Here is a 21,280-nt window from a genome sequence, read left to right on the forward strand (position 1 = left end):
ATAACAGATGCCTATTTTCGCCTTCAGGAGGTTTTTTGATTAGAATGCTAGCAGGCCACTCCTGCGTGTTCCACCCACATTAGACTAACAGCTGCACCTGGGCTGTGGCTTCACTGAAATCACGCACACCCAGGAACACATCATCTGGTTCAAAGACTCAAAGTAAATCACAGACACCATTAACAGAGCTGTGAAAGATACTCAGAGATCCCATGTGCAAAGCCCTTAGCACTGTTCCTGGCACACTAGTAAATATAGAATAAATGCTCGCTATTGCTGTAATTGCTTTTTTAGAAGCCCTTCTCCATCTCCTTGAAGAAAGGAAGGAAAATTTTAATATCTAAGGGTAGAATGGAAAAGGAAGGTTATAGCATTTGTTGAGCAACTCCTGGGTGCCAGGCATTTCATGTGCTTTGCGGCATTTAACTGACACAAACCCCTGGCAGGGGGCTGTGGTTATCACTGACTCCCATATGAGAAAGCCAAGCTCAGATGGCGTAAGGCCCACAGCCGATGGCGCCAGAGCCAAGACTGAAAGTCTTACATGGGAAAGTCTGATGCGGCAGCCCAGCCACCTCCCCAGCAATGTGCTTTTTCACTCTCAACGATTGGGAGATAGTAAAATTCAGAGGTGTCAGGAAGATCCAAGTCTCAGCAGAAGGCAGGTGGGCAGTACAAGGCACAGAGTCACGGCTGTAGACACAGCCAGGTCGCCTCAGGGGGCACAGGGCTGTGGTCTGACCAGAGAAAGCTAACTGGGTATTATCCCCTCAGGGTTGTCATGGGGTGAATTCTCCCAGAATGAGACTGCAAGTGGAATAAAATAAATGGGATGGGGAGTAAGTGACTTTTACACAACCCCACAGTCAGGCGTGGGCTATGACTCCATGAGTTTAAGACAGTCTTGATACTCTTCAGGCTATTTGGACTCTTGAAGTTTTTCCTGGGGTAAAGGGGCCCCAGTGCCCTCCAGCTGTCCTCTGCAGGCACCCAGAGCTGGTCAAAGGAGCCCAGAGGCTCTGGGCAGGGCTTCAAGGGTGTGTGCTCCACACTAGTCACTGCCAGCATCCAAAGGGGTTCATCTTCTGAAATCCAGTAAAACCCAGTCCTTCCCTGGCCCCAGTGAAGGGTCCCGACTGCCCCTGCCAGCCTGAATAACTCAGGCCTCCACCCCTGCCTCCCTTGTTCTGCTTCAGCAACTCTGGCCTCCAAAATCCCCACACACACTGCAGCCTCAAGCCTGCACAATTGCTGGTCTCTGCTTAGGACCCTGTTCCCTGGAGACTTTCCTCCCTCCATCCAGACCTCACCCCATATGTCACCTTCTCTGAGATATGTGGATTGCCCTTTTAAGAGTAGCACCTCTCATGCCTGTAATCCCAACACTTTGGGAGGCCAAGGCAGGAGGATCATTTGAACCACGGAGGTTGAGGCTGCAATGAGCCGCAGTCACATCACTGCCCTCAGCCTGGGTGAGTGACAGAGCAAGACCCTCTCTCTCAAAGAGAAAAGAAAGAGCACTGCGGCCCCTCTTCCTTTCACCTTGCCTCCCTTTTCCTCATCACTGCCCAACACCACATTGCACATATTCTTTGTGAATCCGTTCATTGTCTGCCTAAGACAGAAACGTAAGCTCCATGAGGAGAGGGACTTGCCTCTGTTTTGTTCACTGCTCTGTCTTCGGCGCCCAGTACAGAGTAGAGGTAAATAAATGCTTGCTGAATGAAGGAAGTGAGTTCATCAGTCAATCCACCAGTCAGCGCAGAATATACTCCCTAAGGCATTACCAGAAGTAAATCCAAGGACCACTTGGGTCAGAATTCCTTAGAGGACTTATACATGCAGATTCCTGGCTAGGAAGGAAATGGCATTTTCATGGTTCTGTGAAGGGAGGAGACCACCTCTCATATTGTCTTATGCCCAATTTCTGCCTCCAAAGAAAAAAGAAGTAAAAACTAAAAAGCAGAAATGAAATCCACAGCCAGCCAGCCCAGTGCCATGCCCTGGGCCTGGTAGCTAAAAATCAACCCCTGACTTAACTGCTTGTGTTATCTATAGATTCCAGACATTGTATGGAAAAGCACTGTGAAAATCCCTGTCCTGTTCTGTTCCGTTCTGATCACCGGTGCATGCAGCCCCTAGTCACGTACCCCCTGCTTGCTCAATCGATCACGGCCCTCTCACGCAGACCCCCTTAGAGTTGTAAGCCCTTAAAAGGAACAGGGATTGCTTACTAGGGGAGCTTGGTTTTTTGAGACATAAGTCTGCCAAAGCTCCTGTCAAATAAAGCCCTTTCCTTCCTCAACTCAGTGTCTGAGGGGTTTCATCTGCAGCTCATCCTACTACATTTCTTGGTTCTCTGACCGGGAAGTGAGGTGATTGGTGGATGGTCGAGGCAGCCCCTTAGTCGGCTTAGGCCTGCCCTGTGGAGCATCCCTGCAGGGGACTCCAGCCAGCTTTAGTGACATGAATCCTGAGAGCACTCCCAGGTAGGCAATTGCCTCAGTGGAATGCCTCACCAGAGAGTACACGGTAGGCCCCCCCACGGAGGATTAACAGTGGCTGAACACCAGGAAGAAATCGGCACCTGGAGTCCGGACATCTGGAACACGGTAAGACCAATCTTGGAACTTGCCCACTCTGAGTGGAAATGTGGCCTGATCACCCATGGCGTGCCTTAATCGGCACCTTGGTTTTGGTTTTGATTTTGACTAGATTTGCACTGTTTTGGTTTAGATTTCAGTATTGACTTTTGGATTTGAACTGTTTTGGATTTGATTTCGGTTCTGACTTGGCTCAAATTGCTTGATGAATGAGTAACTCCTTATCCATACTTTGGTTTTAGTGTGAACTGCTTGGTGAGTGAGTGACTTTTTGCCCCTTTTCCCCCTCTCTGTTTGTAGTTAAGAGTGTTGTTTTGTCTCCTGAGAGAGGAAAATGAGTAAAACACCAAGTAAGCCTACCCGATAGGAACTATGTTAAAGAATTTCAAGAAAGGATTCAATGGGGACTATGGAATCACTATGACACCTGGAAAGCTTAAGGCTTTGTGTGAGATAGATTGGCCAGCATTAGAGTTGGGATGGCCATCAGAAAGAAGCCTAGACAGGTCCCTATTTTCAAAGGTATGGCACAAAGTAACTGGTAAATTAGGACACCCAGATCAGTTTCCATACATAGATAGTGGGTTACAGCTGGTTTTAGACCCCCGACAGTGGTTAAGATGACAGGCAGCAGTAGTACTAGTGGCAAAGGGACAGGCAGCCAAGGAAGAAAGAGTAGCTCCACTCCCGCCGGTCCCTTCCCTAGGGGAAGAGGAAGGAGAGAGGAGAACAGCAGCATAAGCGGCTGGCAGAGGCAAGGAAAGACCAGCAGAGAGAAAAAGAGAGAGAGAGAGAAAGAGAGAAAGAGAGAGGGGAGGAAGAGAGAGGGGAGGAAGAGAGAGGGGAGGAAGAGAGAGGGGAGGAAGAGAGAGGGGAGGAAGAGAGAGGGGATGAAGTATTCAAAAAGAGAGAAAGAAAGGCAGAGAGAGGAACAGACAGACAAAAAGAAAGTCAAAGAGAGAGATAAAGTCAAAGAGAGAAAAAGAGATATACAAGCAGTTAAGAAAAAAAAGTGTACTCTATTCCTTTAAAAGCCATGGTAAATTTAGAACCTATAATTGATAATTAAAGGTCTTATCGGTGACCATGTAACACTCCAATACCACTTTGTTGTCAGTGTAAACAAGGGTGTAGCCTGAAAGCACTGAGGCCACTGACAACCCACAGCCCGTAGCCTTCCTATCAAAATTCCTTAACCCAGTAACCTGCGGATGGCCCAAATACATTCAATCTGTAGCAGCATCGGCTTTGCTAACAGAAAAAAGTAGAAAAATAACCTTTAAAGGAAACCTCATTGTGAGCACACCTCACCAGTTCAGAACTATCCAAAAAAAAAAAAAAAAAAGAGAGGGTTGGGGGTGGAGAATTTATGTCAAAAGAATGTTATATAGTAAATTCTTATCCGAAAATTAATTAACTGGTTGTTTAAAGAAAGGGATGTTTGCAGTAAGTCAGAAAGTTGATACATGTCGAAAAATTGTCTGTGAAAGTCGTGAAAGAAGAAAAAAATTTGTGTTATAAAAAAGGAATTTATGCAAGAAATGTTGTATAATTTAAAAGTAATTAGGCCTCCTGAATGTAAAACTATTGAAGAAACAGTTTATACATGTACAAGGTGTATAAGAAAAGTGAAATATACTTTTAGTAAAAGTATTATAAGGAGGTGTAAAAATGTGAATTTTTACCTACATTAAAAGGTTAAAAAAATTTGTTTTGAAGGTTTAAGCAAGTTTTAAGATGTTAATTGTAAAGGAAATTCTGTGTGTAAACATATTGGCTAAAGTTAAAGGGGTATCATCCAGTTTTTCTGTACATTAAAGTAAAAACACAACAGGTTTTCCTTAAAGCACTAACCTGCCCTTTAACAAAAATTATAAAAGGTTAAAAAGAGTCTATAAAAATCTTACCTTATGGTCAGACATTAAAAATTGAATAACTATGTCTACAAAGTTTTATTAAAACTAAGTTTAACATTAATAACACACTAATGTAAAGGCGAAATCTAGCTTATCTGGTATAAACACACAGGAAGCATTGTCAGATATAAAATGGTGTTTGGCTTTCTTTGGTCTAAAAACTAAAAAATAGGTGCTAAAGGAAATTTCTCAGTAAGAAGGTACCGAGGACTATAAAGTCCACTGCTGATGTCCCCACATTTAAAACAAAAGGTCAATTTCTTAGAAATTATATACTTTATCTTCCACTTTCCTTTCCCTCAAAACTAAAAGTCTTTTAGCACATGTACCACCCCTAGAATTTCCGGTAAACCAGCACCAGCCCAAAGACTATGTTCTCATCAAAGGGTGGAAAGAAGAAAAACTCGAGCCAGCCTGGGAAGGAACCTACCTTATGCTGCTAACCACCGAGACTTCTGTTTGTACAGAGAAAAAGGGATGGATTCATCACACCTGAGTCAAGAAAGCGCCACCCCCTCCAGTGTCTTGGGCCATAGTCCCAGGGGAAAACCCTACCAAACTAAAGCTAAGAAAAATTTAACTCTTTCATCTATTCTATTACTCTTTCTTCTTTCTTCACTCTATTGCTGACCATCTAGTTATTAACATAACCAAGTCGATTTCACCTCAAACTATTGCATTTAATGCTTGCCTTGTTATACCCTGTGGGGACTTGCCAAGTCAAAGACAGCTCTCTACTTCAGAAAAGTACCTCTGTCCCTCCTGACTCTCCTCAGACTGGGCATTAGTAAATTGGGACCATTTAATCTGGGGAGATTTTGATAAAGACCCCAGTGTCAACCAGGAGTCTTGCCCCCTGAATGTAGAGCTTTTATGCCGTAGTTGGTCCAATGTTCTGTGGACCACTAAAGAGCAAGGATGGACTGCCCCAACTGGTTTTTGTAATTTCCTAAAACCATACATTCATTTTACTAGAGGATCATAGAAGTTAAAGACTTAAACTTTGGCAATTAAGACAGGATACCAAGACGCAAATGCCTGGTTAGAATGGATCAAATATTCTGTCTGCACATTAAACAAAAGCAATTGTTATGCTTGTGCACATGGCAGGCCAGAGGCCCAGATTGTCCCCCTTCCACTAAGGTGGTCCTCCAGTCAACCAGGCGTGGGCTGCATGGTAGCTTTTTTCCAGGATTCTACAGCCTGGAGTAATAAGTCATGCCAAGCTCTCTCTGCTATATCCCAAAGTTCAGCACCCTGCGGGTCAGCCCCCAAGGGCCATCCAGTTTCCATCTCCCAACACTAAGTTCACTTTGTGTCTCTCACAACAAGGCGGAAATTTAGCATTCCTTGGAGACCTGAAGGGATGCGATGAGCTTAAGAACTTTCAAGAGCTTACCAGTAAGTCAGCCCTTGTTCATCCCCGAGCGGATGTGTGGTGGTATTGTGGGTGGACCTTTACTATATGAATCACTATCAATCTGTCTTACCAGAAGACATGGGTAGTGAGGATGAAAGTGAGAACTCCCACTAATGAGTAAAGTTCTCAAAGGGGGGTGATAAGGGAGGAGACCACCCCTCATATTGTCTTATGCCCAATTTCTGCCTCCAAAGAAAGAAGAAGTAAAAACTAAAAGGTAGAAATGAAATCCACAGACAGCCTGGTGCTGCGCCCTGGGCCTGGTAGTTAAAAATCAACCCCTGACTTAACTGCTTGTGTTATCTATAGATTCCAGACATTGTATGGAAAAGCATCATGAAAATCCCTGTCCTGTTCCTTTCTGTTCTGTTCTGATTACTGGTGCATGCAGCTCCCAGTCACGTACCCCCTGCTTGCTCAATCGATCATGACCCTCTCACTCAGACCCCCTTAGAGCTATAAGCCCTTAAAAGGGACAAGAGTTGCTCACTCAGGGAGCTCAGTTTTTTGAGATGTAAGTCTGCCAACACTCCTGGCTGAATAAAGCCCTTTCCTTCCTCAACTCTGTGTCTGAGGGGTTTTGTCTGCAGCTCGTCCCGCTACACTGTCATCAGCATCCACCCCCCACCACCCTACCCCTGCACCCACCCCCCACCCCGCCTGTATAGAGGCCTCCAGAGGAAGGCAAGAGGCAAGGTGAAGGGAATGACTGCTTGGCCACCCAGGAGGGTAGGTACTTGGCATAGGGTTCCCAGCCCTCCCCATCACCCCAGCCCATCCAGGTTCCCAGGCACCAAGCATGGCTAAGAAGCAGCAGAGCTGTCAGCCTTGCAGGGATACCTGTGAGCTCAGTATATGTGGCTCTCAGTAGCAAGCGTGGCAGACAGGATATATGAGGGCCCTCCCCAGTTTTCAGACACGGTCTAGCTCTTCTTTAATCTGCAACCCCTGGGAAGTGGGGGGTCTCTGGTACTGGCTGAGATTGAGGCTTAAAATCAGATTATTTTTAATAAGAAATAAAGATGTGATTTTTAAAATTGTTTTTACCACTAACCATAAAGTAGGTAAATTATATCATCATCTTAACCTTCTATAATATGCATTCTTTAGTTTCTCAGTAGTTTTAATATCTAATATTTATTCAGTATTAAATTCAAATTATATTCAAGAACTATTAAGTCATACTTTGAAACTCATTAAAATATATTCAAATGAAAATTGAAGTCAGACTGTTTCTGTCTCTGGAAACAGATTTAATTTGATTTAGAGAAAACAAATTGATAGAGAAGTCTCTTTAAATGCAGATTCCTGGGATCCATCCCAGGTCCACTGAATCAGAATCTGGTGGTAGAGGCTTGGTACTTGCATTCTTACCAGGCTCCACTCAGAATTCTCAGTTCTTTTCCCCCCAAACCTGTGAGGTTTGAGATGCCCTGCAATGTCTGCCCCTCAGGTAAGTGGGAATGTTAGAAGACCCAGAGTGGGAGGGTAAGAACTGGGCCCCCAGCCTCCCCATGCTCCAAGGTACTTGATAAGGACAGTGTACAGGAAGGACCTTGTCTCCGAGGCCTGCCAAGGCGGGCCAACAGCCGAACAAACCAAGTGGAGGTAGAGAGGCTCGAATTCACGAGGGAAAAAGGGATGGAGAAGAAACAAGAGGAAAAATATAGGGTTAACAAACAATGAAGGTTAATATTAGCTAAGAATGATGTCCAGGTTTCTTTAACACATTGTGGAAAGAGGAAAGAAAAGATAGAAGCTTCTTTTGAAATCAGGCAGGCCAAGAACTGGATGCAGTGAGCATTTCTGTGGATTCAAGCAAAGAACACGTGTCTATGATGGAGAGGACTAGGGCCTGAACCTTGGCCACTCACATTCTGTTTCTCCGGGATGATCACTGATCTGTGCCTAGGATTCCTCATCTATAAGAGGCATGTATCATTATCTGTGCTTTCCCCTTGAGATTTTGGAGGGGAGGCTGGTAGAGTCCATATATGAGAGAAAATTCCAACCAGGAATAATTCTTGCCCATGCTGGCACTCCAAAGGATGCAGCAGAAACAGCTCTAACCCTGGTCTGCTTCTTGTTGTTTGCCCATACCAAGTGCATGACCACTAAGACTTTGAATTTGCTCTAACCCTACCGGGACCAGTCTTTCTCTTCACCTCCACGTTGAACTTGCTGTCCTTTTTTTTTTCTTTTTTTGCCTGGAACATTCTTTCCATCTCCACATGCTACCTTCTCATCAATCAGGTCTAGGCTTGACTTTCACCACTTCAGAGAGACCTTCCCAGGCCTCCTTATCCGATATATTGCCTCCTCCCCTCCCCACTCTGTCACATCATCCTCTTTTTTCTTTGTCTTAGTACTTATCACTCTGAAATTATCTAATTTGTTCACAAGTGTGTTGCCCACACCTGAGCTGTCATGGGAGTTCCTTGAGGGCAGAAGCCTTTTCCTGTGAGCATATTCCCTGAAATAAAGGAGACATCCATAAATATCCAAGAATGAGTGAATTAATGACCTTCCTTGAGTTGCCTCTTGGTCCACCTGCTGTCTATTCTACTCTCAGTTCTTCTCCCCTTGATTCTTTTGGTCTTTTTATCTCTGCCCTTCCCCACTTTGTCCTCTAGGTCCCTGAGTCTGACTGTATTTCCCCAACACAATGCTGGAGTGGAAGGTTTTAGGCCCCTCCATTTCTCCTATAGGATATTGGCTTGAAATAATCCAGCCTGGGCAGGAATCATTGAAGTTAACCGACCATTCTCTCATAAAAGACCTAGTGCTGATGCATTATTAAGTAGACATCTCCTCATCAAAGAGGGCCTTCTGGCCACCCAGTTTGAGAAGGCAGGGAAGGGAGCATGGAAGGTAAAACCCCCTCCTGCTATATTAACCAACAGGCACTGGGGGTGAACGATGAGAGCCCAGAGATGAGAGCCCTCTGGAGTACTGAAAAAGAAGAAAATAAGATTGCTCTTAGGTAAACAGGAAACTGAGCAACCTTGGATCAGGGGTGCAAGCTTGGCCAAATCTCAGGTGGAGGCACAGCCATATCTAAAGGAAGGATCTCTCCTTCAAAGGAGTGGGTTGGCCCTGGAATTATGTAGATGTTTGTTTAGCCTCATTACTTGCCAAACATCTTGCCAAAAGATCTCCTTGCATTACCTCCTGTAATCCTCCCAACAGCCCTTTTCTTTGCTACTGTTGGTCTTATAAGAATGAGATTCCTAAACCCATGGGAATACGAACCATGTCTTTTGTTTCTCGTGATTCTTTTGCTTAATATTTTGTCCAAACATCACAGCACAGAATTCAGTTCTGGGAGGAAGAGCCATTGTTTATTTCCTCCACCCTGGGATTTTCCTTCCTTCTGAAAATATTCTCCTTCTTTATTAGCTTCTGTATCTACAGCAGCTACATAGCCCATTCCTTGCTCTATTTTAGATTCTTCTGTTCTGTGAGGAATGCCTCTGTTACATTTATTTGATGGCCATTACTTATTTCAAAGCAATAGAGCCTGGTGGCTGGGCAAATGAACTTTTGAAAATAAGAGACCCGCAAGGCACGGTGGCTCACACCTGTAATCTCAGCACTTTGGGAGGCTGAGGCAGAAGGATTTGAGCCCAGGAGTTCAAGATGAACCTAGGTAACATAGTGAGATCCTGTCTTTACAAATAAAAAGAAAAAAAACCAGCCGGGCTTGGTAGTCCATGTGGTCCCAGCTACTTGGGAAGGTGAAGTGGGAGGATCCTTTGAGCCCAGGAGGTCAAGGCTACATACAACCAGCCGTGATTGCACCACTGCACTCCAGCCAGGGAGACAGAGCAAGACCTTGTCTCAAAAAAAAAAAAAAAAATCACAACAACAACAAAAAACCGTATTTCATTTCAGGTGCTGCCACCAAATAGATACATGACATTGGGCAAGTTAACCTCTTTGTGCTGATTTCTGTCAGTGAAATGGGCTTAAAAATAGTTAACCTTAGGATTATTGTGAAAGTTATCATCAAGAGTTACAGTGTAAAGAGTAAATTATTATGAAGTGTTAAAATGTAATGAAAACACACAGAACAATATCTGGAAGGGGAAGTTAAGCTGGAGAGAATATTTGGGAAAGAAGATGGTAAATGCTGAGCAAATGATAGCTGGTAAGGTTTTTTGACTGCGAGTAAAAGAAATTGCATTTAGCTAATCAAAGCAAAAAAAAAAATGAAGTTCATCATAAAGATCCTGGGTCACTAATTAGCTCAAGGTAATAAGATCAATTTGGGGAGGGATGGGCCTACAGGGAACCCAGCCTTCATGCGGAACCTTATCCTGAGTGTTGTTGCTGGGGTGACCCAGCAGCAATGGCCTTCCATTCTGATTCTGGTCTCGGAAAATCTGGGTCATGTTTTTCCTTTGGGAGAAAGGAGAGTCAGCCTTGTGATGGATAGTTCCTCCAAGATTATATTGAATGGGATAGGAATTGAAATCTATTAATCTCATATTGCTGCTACGACAAATTACCACACACTTTAAACACCACGAATTTATTGTTTTACAGTTGTAGCATTCAGAAGTCCACAATCAATCTCAGTGGGCTAACATCAAGGCACTGGCAAGGCTGCATTCCTACAGGCTGCTATGAGAGCCTTACCTAACTTATGGTAGTCACAGAGTGTATCATATCACCTCTGCCAATATAGGGTAACCTAATCAATGGCATGATATCCCATCATATTCACAGGGCCTAGCCACATTCAACAGAAGGGGACTGTACACACCAGTTGTGTGTCTAAGATATGCCTTTTAGCAAGGTGGACAGACAGGTAATCAGATAGTGGGACAGCGTGGGAGGTGCTGTCACAAAGGTGTGTGAGAGACCTTCTGGACAACTATGAGTCAAAGTTCCTGCGAAAGAGGAAGAAAATGGGGTCCTGGGCAGAGCATAGGGGCATTCAGAAAGATGAATTCTGGGCTGTATTTTGAAGGATGAAGATTAATCTCTGATGGGAGCCATGCATGTAAACCAAGGGAAAACTAAATTCAGGTTTCTAGTTAAAAGGTTAATGCTTTAATTTAGACCACAGCTGAATCCCAGAAAAGCCAGAAATTAAATCCAGGCAGAATTAATCATTTAATCAGCCAGTCAGGCTACCTTGATTTGCTTTGGCAATTTAAGAGAGCTTAGTAGATAGTGCAATATGAACCCCATTTCTAAAGCTTGCTCCATCTTGAAATTCTTCTTAGCTGAGGATTTGTAGTGAATTCTCAGAGTCTGTTGGCTCTTTAAAAAAAAAAATGTCGTAAAGAAGCAGGCATATATGGAGTTGCTGGGAGGAAAAGTAGTCATAATATTGTCGAGATAGTATGGTGGTTGAATTCACCAATCAGCCAGTTGCCCTGGGCTTATTAGTTTCTTTTTAATCTTACACTGCAATATAGAACTGCAGGATGGCGTGAATTGCGAAAAAGAAAAGAAGCAGAGGAGGGAGGAAAAATGATTAAAGCACACACAAAATAGAAAGGGAGCAAGTGGAAAGCGGCCCCTGAAGTTCCAGCTGGCTAGTGGTGATTGATCACAGCTCCATTCGCTGTTAGATTTGTGGAGGTGGTGGGGTGGAGGCCCTGATTCTCTTGATATTCCTTTTTTCACCAGTTTTAGAGTTGGCTCAGTATAAACTAAGCCTAGAAATTTGGAATATTCAAAGATTTTATTTTTGTGTACATTTTTATCAAAGTAACTCATGCATTTCTTTAAAATCAGGTTTTACAGAGGGACTTTTAGTGAAAGACAGCAATTTCAGTTCAGTGGTTCCTGCCCTATCTACAAATAATGTATTTGTGTCTCTCAAATACACAAATACATTAGTCTGGATTTGCACATCAAAACTTCTATAATCATGTATTTGTGTCTCTTTGTGTATTAATTTGAGAGATCTCCTGACTTCCTTTAGTAGATCAGTTTCACTCACCTAAATTATCACACCAACCCTAACCCCAGTATAGTTTTATCACTATTTGTATCACAATTATTTAGTAATATACTATTATTTAGTGATCACTATTATGTAGTGACTATTATTTTGTCACTTTAGATGATATACTATAACCTTTGTTTTCTGTTCCATTGTCCATAAACACTTGTGCCTCTTTTTCTCCCTTTCACTGAAGGGATTTAGAAAAAAAAAAAAACTGGGATGTTGACAGGTGAAAATAGTTACACCAGATGTTCATAAATGGTTTGTAACAGAAGTGTTTCATGTGTAAATACATTTAAGACATCCTGGATAAATGAAATAGAACAAATTTCTCTATAATGGAGCAATTCAGAAGCTTTGAAGTGCAAATCCACAGTGTGAAACTTCTGAAGGATGCGTAGTGTATAGCGTTTCACAAACTTGATCATAGAAACATATTTGGTTGGTTACTTTCCTCCACAGAACATCTATTCACATTTTAGGGAAATGCTTCTAAAATAGTAGGGGAGGTAGTGTCCCGTTTCTTGTGATGTTAGGAGTACGAAAAATCTCCTTTTACTAAAACAGTGTACCCTTTTTGAGCACTTGCAACGTGCCTGTGCGGTACTGAGTGCTGGCACATAGCATCCTGTGAGCAATGTACTAATAGTATCTTCACTTTACAAATAGGAAGATCAAGACATAGAAATGGCAGATCATTTCGTCCAGCATCCCACAATTAGCTAAGTGGTCAAGTCAGGATTCTAATCACTTTAGAGCTCCCTAAATATACTATACTTCCTCTCCCACTGGCTATCGCACTGCCCAGAATGAGGGCATTACAAGGGCACTTTTTAAAGTAGTTACACATTTTAGCAGGCTTAGTCATTTCTATAATCATTATGCTGTCTCTATCTCTATACTATAATGCATCATACACCAACAGCACGTGCATCCATTATTTCAGTTGAGCCCTGTCAGACAGTAGAGCTGACAATGATACAGAGGTTAAGTGTCCTAAATCAAGCTAATTAACATATGCACTACCTCATATTTATCTTGTTGGGGGTAGAATACAATCTTAGTCCATTTTTGTGCTGCTATCACTGAATACCTGTCTGGGTAATTTATAAACAAAAGAAACTTACCTTTTCATAGTTCTGGAGGCTAGGAAGTCTGAGATAGAGGCACTGGCAAGTTCCCTTGTCTGATGAGAGCTGCTTTCCAAGATGGTACCTTGATGCTCTGTCCTCCAGAGGGGAGAAATGCTGAGCCCCTACACGGTAGAAGGTGGAAAGGCAAGGGGGCTGAATGCTGTATGAAGCCTCTTTTATAAAGGCCTTAATTCCATCACAAGGGAGAAGCCCTCATGGCCTAATTGCCTTCTAAAGGCCCCACCTGTTAACACTACCACATTGGCAACACCTGAATTTTGTAGGGAACACATTCAAATTATGGCAAACACTTAAAATCTACTTTTGTAGTAATTTTTAAGTATATAATATAGTGTTTTTAACTATAGTTACCATGTTGTATAATGGATCTCTTGACCTTATTCCTCCTAACTGAAATTTTATTTTCTTTGATCAACTTCTCCCCAATTTCCCCACCATTAGCCTCTGGTAACCACCATTCTAGTCTCTGCTTCTATGAGTTCAACTTTTTTAGATTCCACATACAAGAGAGATCATGTGGTATTAGTCTCTCTGTGTCTGGCTTGTTTCATTTAATACAGTGTCCTCCAGGTGTATCCATGTTGTCACAAATGACAGGATTTCCTTTTTTTTTAAAGGCTGAATAGTATTCCATCGTGTGTGTGTGTGTGTGTGTGTGTGTGTGTGTGTGTGTGTGTATGTATGTATATACACCACATTTTCTTTATCCATCCATCAGTTAATGGACATTTAGGCTGATTCTATAATTTGGCTATTGAAAAAATGCTGCAATTAATATAGAAATGTACATATTTCTTCAACATACCAATTTCATTTCCTCTGTAACTCCAAATTTCTATTTCTCATATATCTGTTAATTGTTTCTTTGTAGCTGATGGTGCTCTCACTAGCAACCCAGTTAACTTCCTGGTGAATGCTCTGCCATGCATGCTCTATAAATTAGAGCTCCATTGTTATTTTCAAATACTTGATATGCAAAAGACAGCTCGCATTTGAATTCTATTTGCCTTGTTACAAAATAAAATTTAACATAGCATTTGTCAATAAAAAATAGCTATTAAAGTCTTTAAATATAACTCTTACAAATGTTTGAATGATTGTAAAAAATGGTTTTAAATATTTTATCATCCCTGTGTGAAACTCTGTTTTCAATGATGATGATCAAGAATTTGAGGAGAGTTCATTAAAAAGTCAATTAGAATTGGCTTGTACCCATTTCAGCATAAAACCCAACATACAAAGCCTATGTTGAATCCCACTTCCACTAGAGATATAGAAAGTCAAGAGAGAATATTGCACCCACCCTAACAGCAAGAATAAACCAGATAATCTAAAAAATCATAATTTTTAAAAGCCTGTAAGAAACCTAATGAACCAAAATTGAAAAAAATGACAAAAACCTCCCAGGAGAGAGGAGACCCCACAACTGCTTTTATCTTTGGCTGCACAGTGAGTGGAAGAAGCTGCTGCCATGGATACAGATAAGAAAAAAACAGCTGAAATTTTAGTGCAATTGTAAAGGGAGAGTATAGCTTGCATGATCATTTAGAATCCCCAGGAATCTCAGACACCAGGGGAGTCTCCACTTTACCCACCAACTCTTTTCTACAGGCTTTCACTGAGTGCTCACAGAAAGATCAGGAGAGCAAGACAGAAACCCCAAGACACAGATGTTCAGAGCTTCTCAAGTCTGAGCAGGTGAACTGAAGGAAATCCCACAGGCACTTTGGTCATGGTGATTATAAGGCAGCAACTCTCTACCACTGGGGGAGGAACAGGTGAGCTGAGTGCACAGTGAGGCACGGTGCATGGAGTCTGCTGAAGTCCAAAGGCTGAGGGGAGAACTGAGAAACTCCATTGGCTTTCTGGACATTACATTGCACACTAGACAACAGCCATCTGCTACTGGGGAGATGCTGGAGAGCTGAGAGAAACATCCCCTCTTCTCCAGGTACAAGTGTGCCAAGCCTGCTGGAGTCTAAGAAGAACTACAGGAAACCCCACAGACACTATGGTCCTTACCTAATAAGGTAAAGACCATCTACCTATTGGGGGAGGGGCCAGAGAGCTAAGAAAGACATCTCACTCCAAACCCAAGTGCACAGGTATTGCTGAAGTCCAGGGGCAGAACAAGAATATTAAGAGAAACCCCCAGCTACTCCATGCCTTTCACTGAGTATGTGACAGCTCTCCTAAGAGCTGAGACAGGCATGAAGCAAAGGCAAACCGGGCTGGCTAAAGTACTAGGGCAGGAAAGAAGGACTGATCAACTCCCTCAGGCACTCATACCTCAAGTTCTGATTTCTCCATTGAACAATGTGAAGCCTGTGGTGAATTGAATCTAACTAAATCAACAACAATTTCAGACCTAGATCAATTAGACTAAATTATCTCAAAAATTCTAGTGTAAAAATAAGCTTATGGCCTTCCAGAATAAAAATGCCTGCCCTTTTCTGGATATGAATATTATTTTCTTCTGACTCTACTGTTCATTTATAATTAATCAAAAATTATAAGGCACATGAGCAAGTTAAGCAAATGATCTTCCTCAAGAGAGAAAACAGCAGATAGAACCAGAGCCACAGAATTATTGTAATTATCATATGGGGACTGTAAAATAATTACAATGTATAAAAGGATTGGGTGGAAAAGTGAGCAAAATCTCTGGACAGGTGGACAATTTCAGAGCCAAATGAAGATGCTAGAAATGAAAAATACTTTATCGATAAAGAATTTTAACACATTGTTAGCACACAAGACACAGAAAAGGAAAGAACCGTGAAAGTGAAGACAATTTGTATCTCAGCACTCTACTTGCATTCAAGATATCTGATACATTTAAAACAGCCAAACAAACACAAACGTTGAGTTCTAGGAAAAATTTAAATGACCTAGAATTTTCTAAAATATATGAAATTCCATCAACGCAAGATGGAATAAGCTCTGAAAACCCAAAGAAGAATGAATTCAAAGAAATACCAGTAAAAGCACCCATAGACACATCAGAATCAAACAGATGAATTCCAAACATAAAGGGAAAATCTGGAAAATTGGCAGAGAAAACAAGAGAGATTACATACAGGGGAGCAACATAGAAATTACAGCTTCTCACTGGAAACAATGGAGACCAGGAGACAGTGAAATGACATTTTAAAGTGTTGAAAGGAAAAAAAAATCAATCTAGAATTCTATGCCAGTGAAATCTTTTCCAAAAATGAAACCAGCCAAAATAAACATATTTTCAGGAAAACAAAAGTGAAGGAAATTGCCTCAAGCAGATCTCTACTACCAGGAAATACTCAAATAAGTTATTTAGGCCAAAAGGAAACAATATTAGACACCCAGTTCCTTAGGAAAGAATGAGAACTCTGGAAAGAGAAAGCATGTTAGCAAATATAAAAGACATTAAAACACACACACACACACACACACACACACACAAGCATACATAAATATTTTAAAGACCATTGGTTTCTAAAAGTAAAACTAAAAACAATGTAGTTACTTTACATTGTTCTGACATATTTAGAAGTAAGCTGTATGACAAGAGTATAGAGGGTAGGAGAAAGGCAATTAAAATATATTAAGAGTTTTATATTGTTTGTGAAGTAGTAAAATAATTTTTGTTGCCGATGTGATAAATTAGAGATGCATATAGTAATATCTATATAAAAATGACAGACATAAAAGCAACTAATGATAACTAACAGAAAATAACACAAAAATTAATATCTAAAAATACTTAATTCACACATAAAAGAGGCAGAAAAGGAGGAACAAAAAAACAAAAAGCAGGTGGAATAAAACACAAATACATCAGCAAGTATGTATTGGTTTAAAAAGGAAGACCAAAGTATATGTTTTTGACAAGGAATACATTTTAAACATAAAAACACAGAAAAGTTGAAAGTAAAAGGATGGAAAATGGAACAACATACACCACTCAAACACTAATTATGAGAAATCCGCCATGACTATGTTATATAACAGAAAGGAGACTTCAGCACAGAGAGTATTTCATACTGAGATAAAGACAGGTATTTCATAATGATAAATGAATTACGTGATGAAGAAAACATAAACATTTTAAATGTGACAGAACAAAAGAAAAATATAGATAAGTTCATCATTATTTTGGGTTTAATTTCCTCTGCCTTTTCTTGCTTCTTAAAGTACAAGCTTTGAGCATTGATTTTACAACGAATGTAAAATCAATATTTTGAAGAATTGAATACCACTCTCTCAGCAGTTGATAGCACAACTAGATTTTAAAAAATTTAAACAAGATAGAGAAGATATAACTCGACTTAATTGAAAGTACTAGAGCATGAAGCCCAACAACAGAAAAGGACTGAGTAATCTTCTGAAGTGCGCACAAAACATTCACCAAGGTGGACTATTTTCTGGATCATAAAACAAGTCTCCAAACATCTCAAAGATCAGAAATCATACAGAATACACTCTCTGACCACAGCAGTATTAAATTAGACATCAATAACAATACAATATTTTAATATGATTTTCTGCAATGATGGAAATATCTGTGCTGCCCAAGGTAGTAGTCTGGTAGTCATATCCACATGTGACTATTGAAGACTTGAAGTTTAGCTAGATCATCTTAGCAACTGAGTTTTTAATTTTAATTCATTGTAATTTTAATTTGAATATCCACATATAGCCAGTGGCTACTGTATTAAACAGCACAAATCTAGACAATTGCTAGATAATCAGAAATTAAACAGCACATTTCTAATAACTCATTACATATGTGTGTGTATGTATATATATCACCAGGTAATATATATGTGTGTGTCTGTGTATATATATATATATATAAAATAGAACAAATCTAGACAATCTCTAGATTATATATATGTGTGTGTATACAAATATATATAAAATAAACAGAACAAATCTAGAACATCTCTAGATATTTGGAAATTAAATAGCACATTTCTAATAGCTCATTACAGATGTGTGTGTCTATATAAACATATATACATATATGTACATACATATATAAATATACATATATACACATCACAAGGGAAATTAGAAAATATGAACAGAATGATAATAAAACATATCATTTTGCAATTCGTGTGATACAGATAAAGCAGTACTTAGAGGGAACTTCATAGTCATAAATGTCTGTATTTAAGAGGAGGAAGGTTGTAAAATCAATGCTCAAAGCTTGTACTTTAAGGAGCAAGAAAAGGCAGAGCAAATTAAACCCCAAAAAAGAAAAGGAAACACAATAAAATTAGAGCCAAATCAGGGAAAACAGAAAACAATAGAGAAAATCAACGAACCTAAAGTCCTTGAAAAGATCAATAAGGTTGCTGAACCTCTAGCATCGAGAAAAAAGGGGAAGAAGCAGCCAAGATGGCCGAATAGGAACAGCTCCGGTCTACAGCTCCCAGCGTGAGTGACACAGAAGACGGGTGATTTCTGCATTTCCATCTGAGGTACCGGGTTCATCTCACTAGGGAGTGCCAGACAGTGGGCGCAGGCCAGTGGGTGCACGCACCATGCGCGAGCCGAAGCAGGGTGAGGCATTGCCTCACCTGGGAAGCGCAAGGGGTCAGGGAGTTCCCTTTCTGAGTCAAAGAAAGGGGTGACGGATGCACCTGGAAAATCGGGTCACTCCCACCCGAATATTGCGCTTTTCAGACCGGCTTAAAAAACGGTGCACCACGGGACTATATCCCACACCTGGCTTGGAGGGTCCTACGCCCACGGAGTCTCGCTGATTGCTAGCACAGCAGTCTGAGATCAAACTGCAAGGCAGCAGCGAGGCTGGGGGAGGGGCGCCCGCCATTGCCCAGGCTTGCTTAGGTAAACGAAGCAGCCTGGAAGCTCGAACTGGGTGGAGCCCACCACAGCTCAAGGAGGCCTGCCTGCCTCTGTAGGCTCCACCTCTGGGGGCAGGGCACAGACAAACAAAAAGACAGCAGTAACCTCTGAAGACTTAAATGTCCCTGTCTGACAGCTTTGAAGAGAGCAGTGGTTCTCCCAGCATGCAGCTGGAGATCTGAGAATGGGCAGACTGCCTCCTCAAGTGGGTCCCTGACCCCTGCCCCCCGAGCAGCCTAACTGGGAGGCACCCCCCAGCAGGGGCACACTGACACCTCACACGGCAGGGTATTCCAACAGACCTGCAGCTGAGGGTCCTGTCTGTTAGAAGGAAAACTAACAAACAGAAAGGATATCCACACCGAAAACCCATCTGTACATCACCATCATCAAAGACCAAAAGTAGATAAAACCACAAAGATGGGGAAAAAACAGAACAGAAAAACTGGAAACTCTAAAACGCAGAGCACCTCTCCTCCTCCAAAGGAACGCAGTTCCTCACCAGCAATGGAACAAAGCTGGATGGAGAATGACTTTGACAAGCTGAGAGAAGAAGGCTTCAGACGATCAAATTACTCTGAGCTACAGGAGGACATTCAAACCAAAGGCAAAGAAGTTGAAAACTTTGAAAAAAATTTAGAAGAATGTATAACTAGAATAACCAATACAGAGAAGTGCTTAAAGGAGCTGATGGAGCTGAAAACCAAGGCTCGAGAACTACGTGAAGAATACAGAAGCCTCAGGAGCCGATGCGATCAACTGGAAGAAAGGGTATCAGCAATGGAAGATGAAATGAATGAAATGAAGCGAGAAGGGAAGTTTAGAGAAAAAAGAATAAAAAGAAATGAGCAAAGCCTCCAAGAAATATGGGACTATGTGAAAAGACCAAATCTACGTCTGATTGGTGTACCTGAAAGTGATGGGGAGAATGGAACCAAGTTGGAAAACACTCTGCAGGATATTATCCAGGAGAACTTCCCCAATCTAGCAAGGCAGGCCAACGTTCAGATTCAGGAAATACAGAGAACGCCACAAAGATACTCCTCGAGAAGAGCAACTCCAAGACACATAATTGTCAGATTCACCAAAGTTGAAATGAAGGAAAAAATGTTAAGGGCAGCCAGAGAGAAAGGTCGGGTTACCCTCAAAGGGAAGCCCATCAGACTAACAGCGGATCTCTCTGCAGAAACCCTACAAGCCAGAAGAGAGTGGGGGCCAATATTCAACATTCTTAAAGACAAGAATTTTCAACCCAGAATTTCATATCCAGCCAAACTAAGCTTCATAAGTGAAGGAGAAATAAAATACTTTACAGACAAGCAAATGCTGAGAGATTTTGTCACCACCAAGCCTGCCCTAAAAGAGCTCCTGAAGGAAGCACTAAACATGGAAAGGAACAACCGGTACCAGCCGCTGCAAAATCATACCAAAATGTAAAGACCATCAAGACTAGGAAGAAACTGCATCAACTAACGAGCAAAATCACCAGCTAACATCATAATGACAGGATCAAATTCACACATAACAATATTAACTTTAAATGTAAATGGACTAAATTCTCCAATTAAAAGACACAGACTGGCAAGTTGGATAAAGAGTCAAGACCCATCAGTGTGCTGTATTCAGGAAACCTATCTCACGTGCAGAGACACACATAGGCTCAAAATAAAAGGATGGAGGAAGATCTACCAAGCAAATGGAAAACTAAAAAAGTCAGGGGTTGCAATCCTAGTCTCTGATAAAACAGACTTTAAACCAACAAAGATCAAAAGAGACAAAGAAGGCCATTACATAATGGTAAAGGGATCAATTCAACAAGAGGAGCTAACTATCCTAAATATATATGCACCCAATCCAGGAGCACCCAGATTCATAAAGCAAGTCCTGAGTGACCTACAAAGAGACTTAAACTCCCACACATTAATAATGGGAGACTTTAACACCCCACTGTCAACATTAGACAGATCAACGAGACAGAAAGTCAACAAGGATACCCAGGAATTGAACTCAGCTCTGCACCAAGCAGACCTAATAGACATCTACAGAACTCTCCACCCCAAATCAACAGAATATACATTTTTTTCAGCACCACACCACACCTATTCCAAAATTGACCACATACTTGGAAGTAAAGCTCTCCTCAGCAAATGTAAAAGAACAGAAATTATAACAAACTATCTCTCAGACCACAGTGCAATCAAACTAGAACTCAGGATTAAGAATCTCACTCAAAGCCGCTCAACTACATGGAAACTGAACAACCTGCTCCTGAATGACTACTGGCTACATAACAAAATGAAGGCAGAAATAAAGATGTTCTTTGAAACCAACGAGAACAAAGACACAACATACCAGAATCTCTGGGA

Source organism: Homo sapiens, chromosome 2 (genome assembly GCF_000001405.40).
Source record: "Homo sapiens chromosome 2, GRCh38.p14 Primary Assembly".
Classification (NCBI taxonomy): Eukaryota; Metazoa; Chordata; class Mammalia; order Primates; family Hominidae; genus Homo; species Homo sapiens.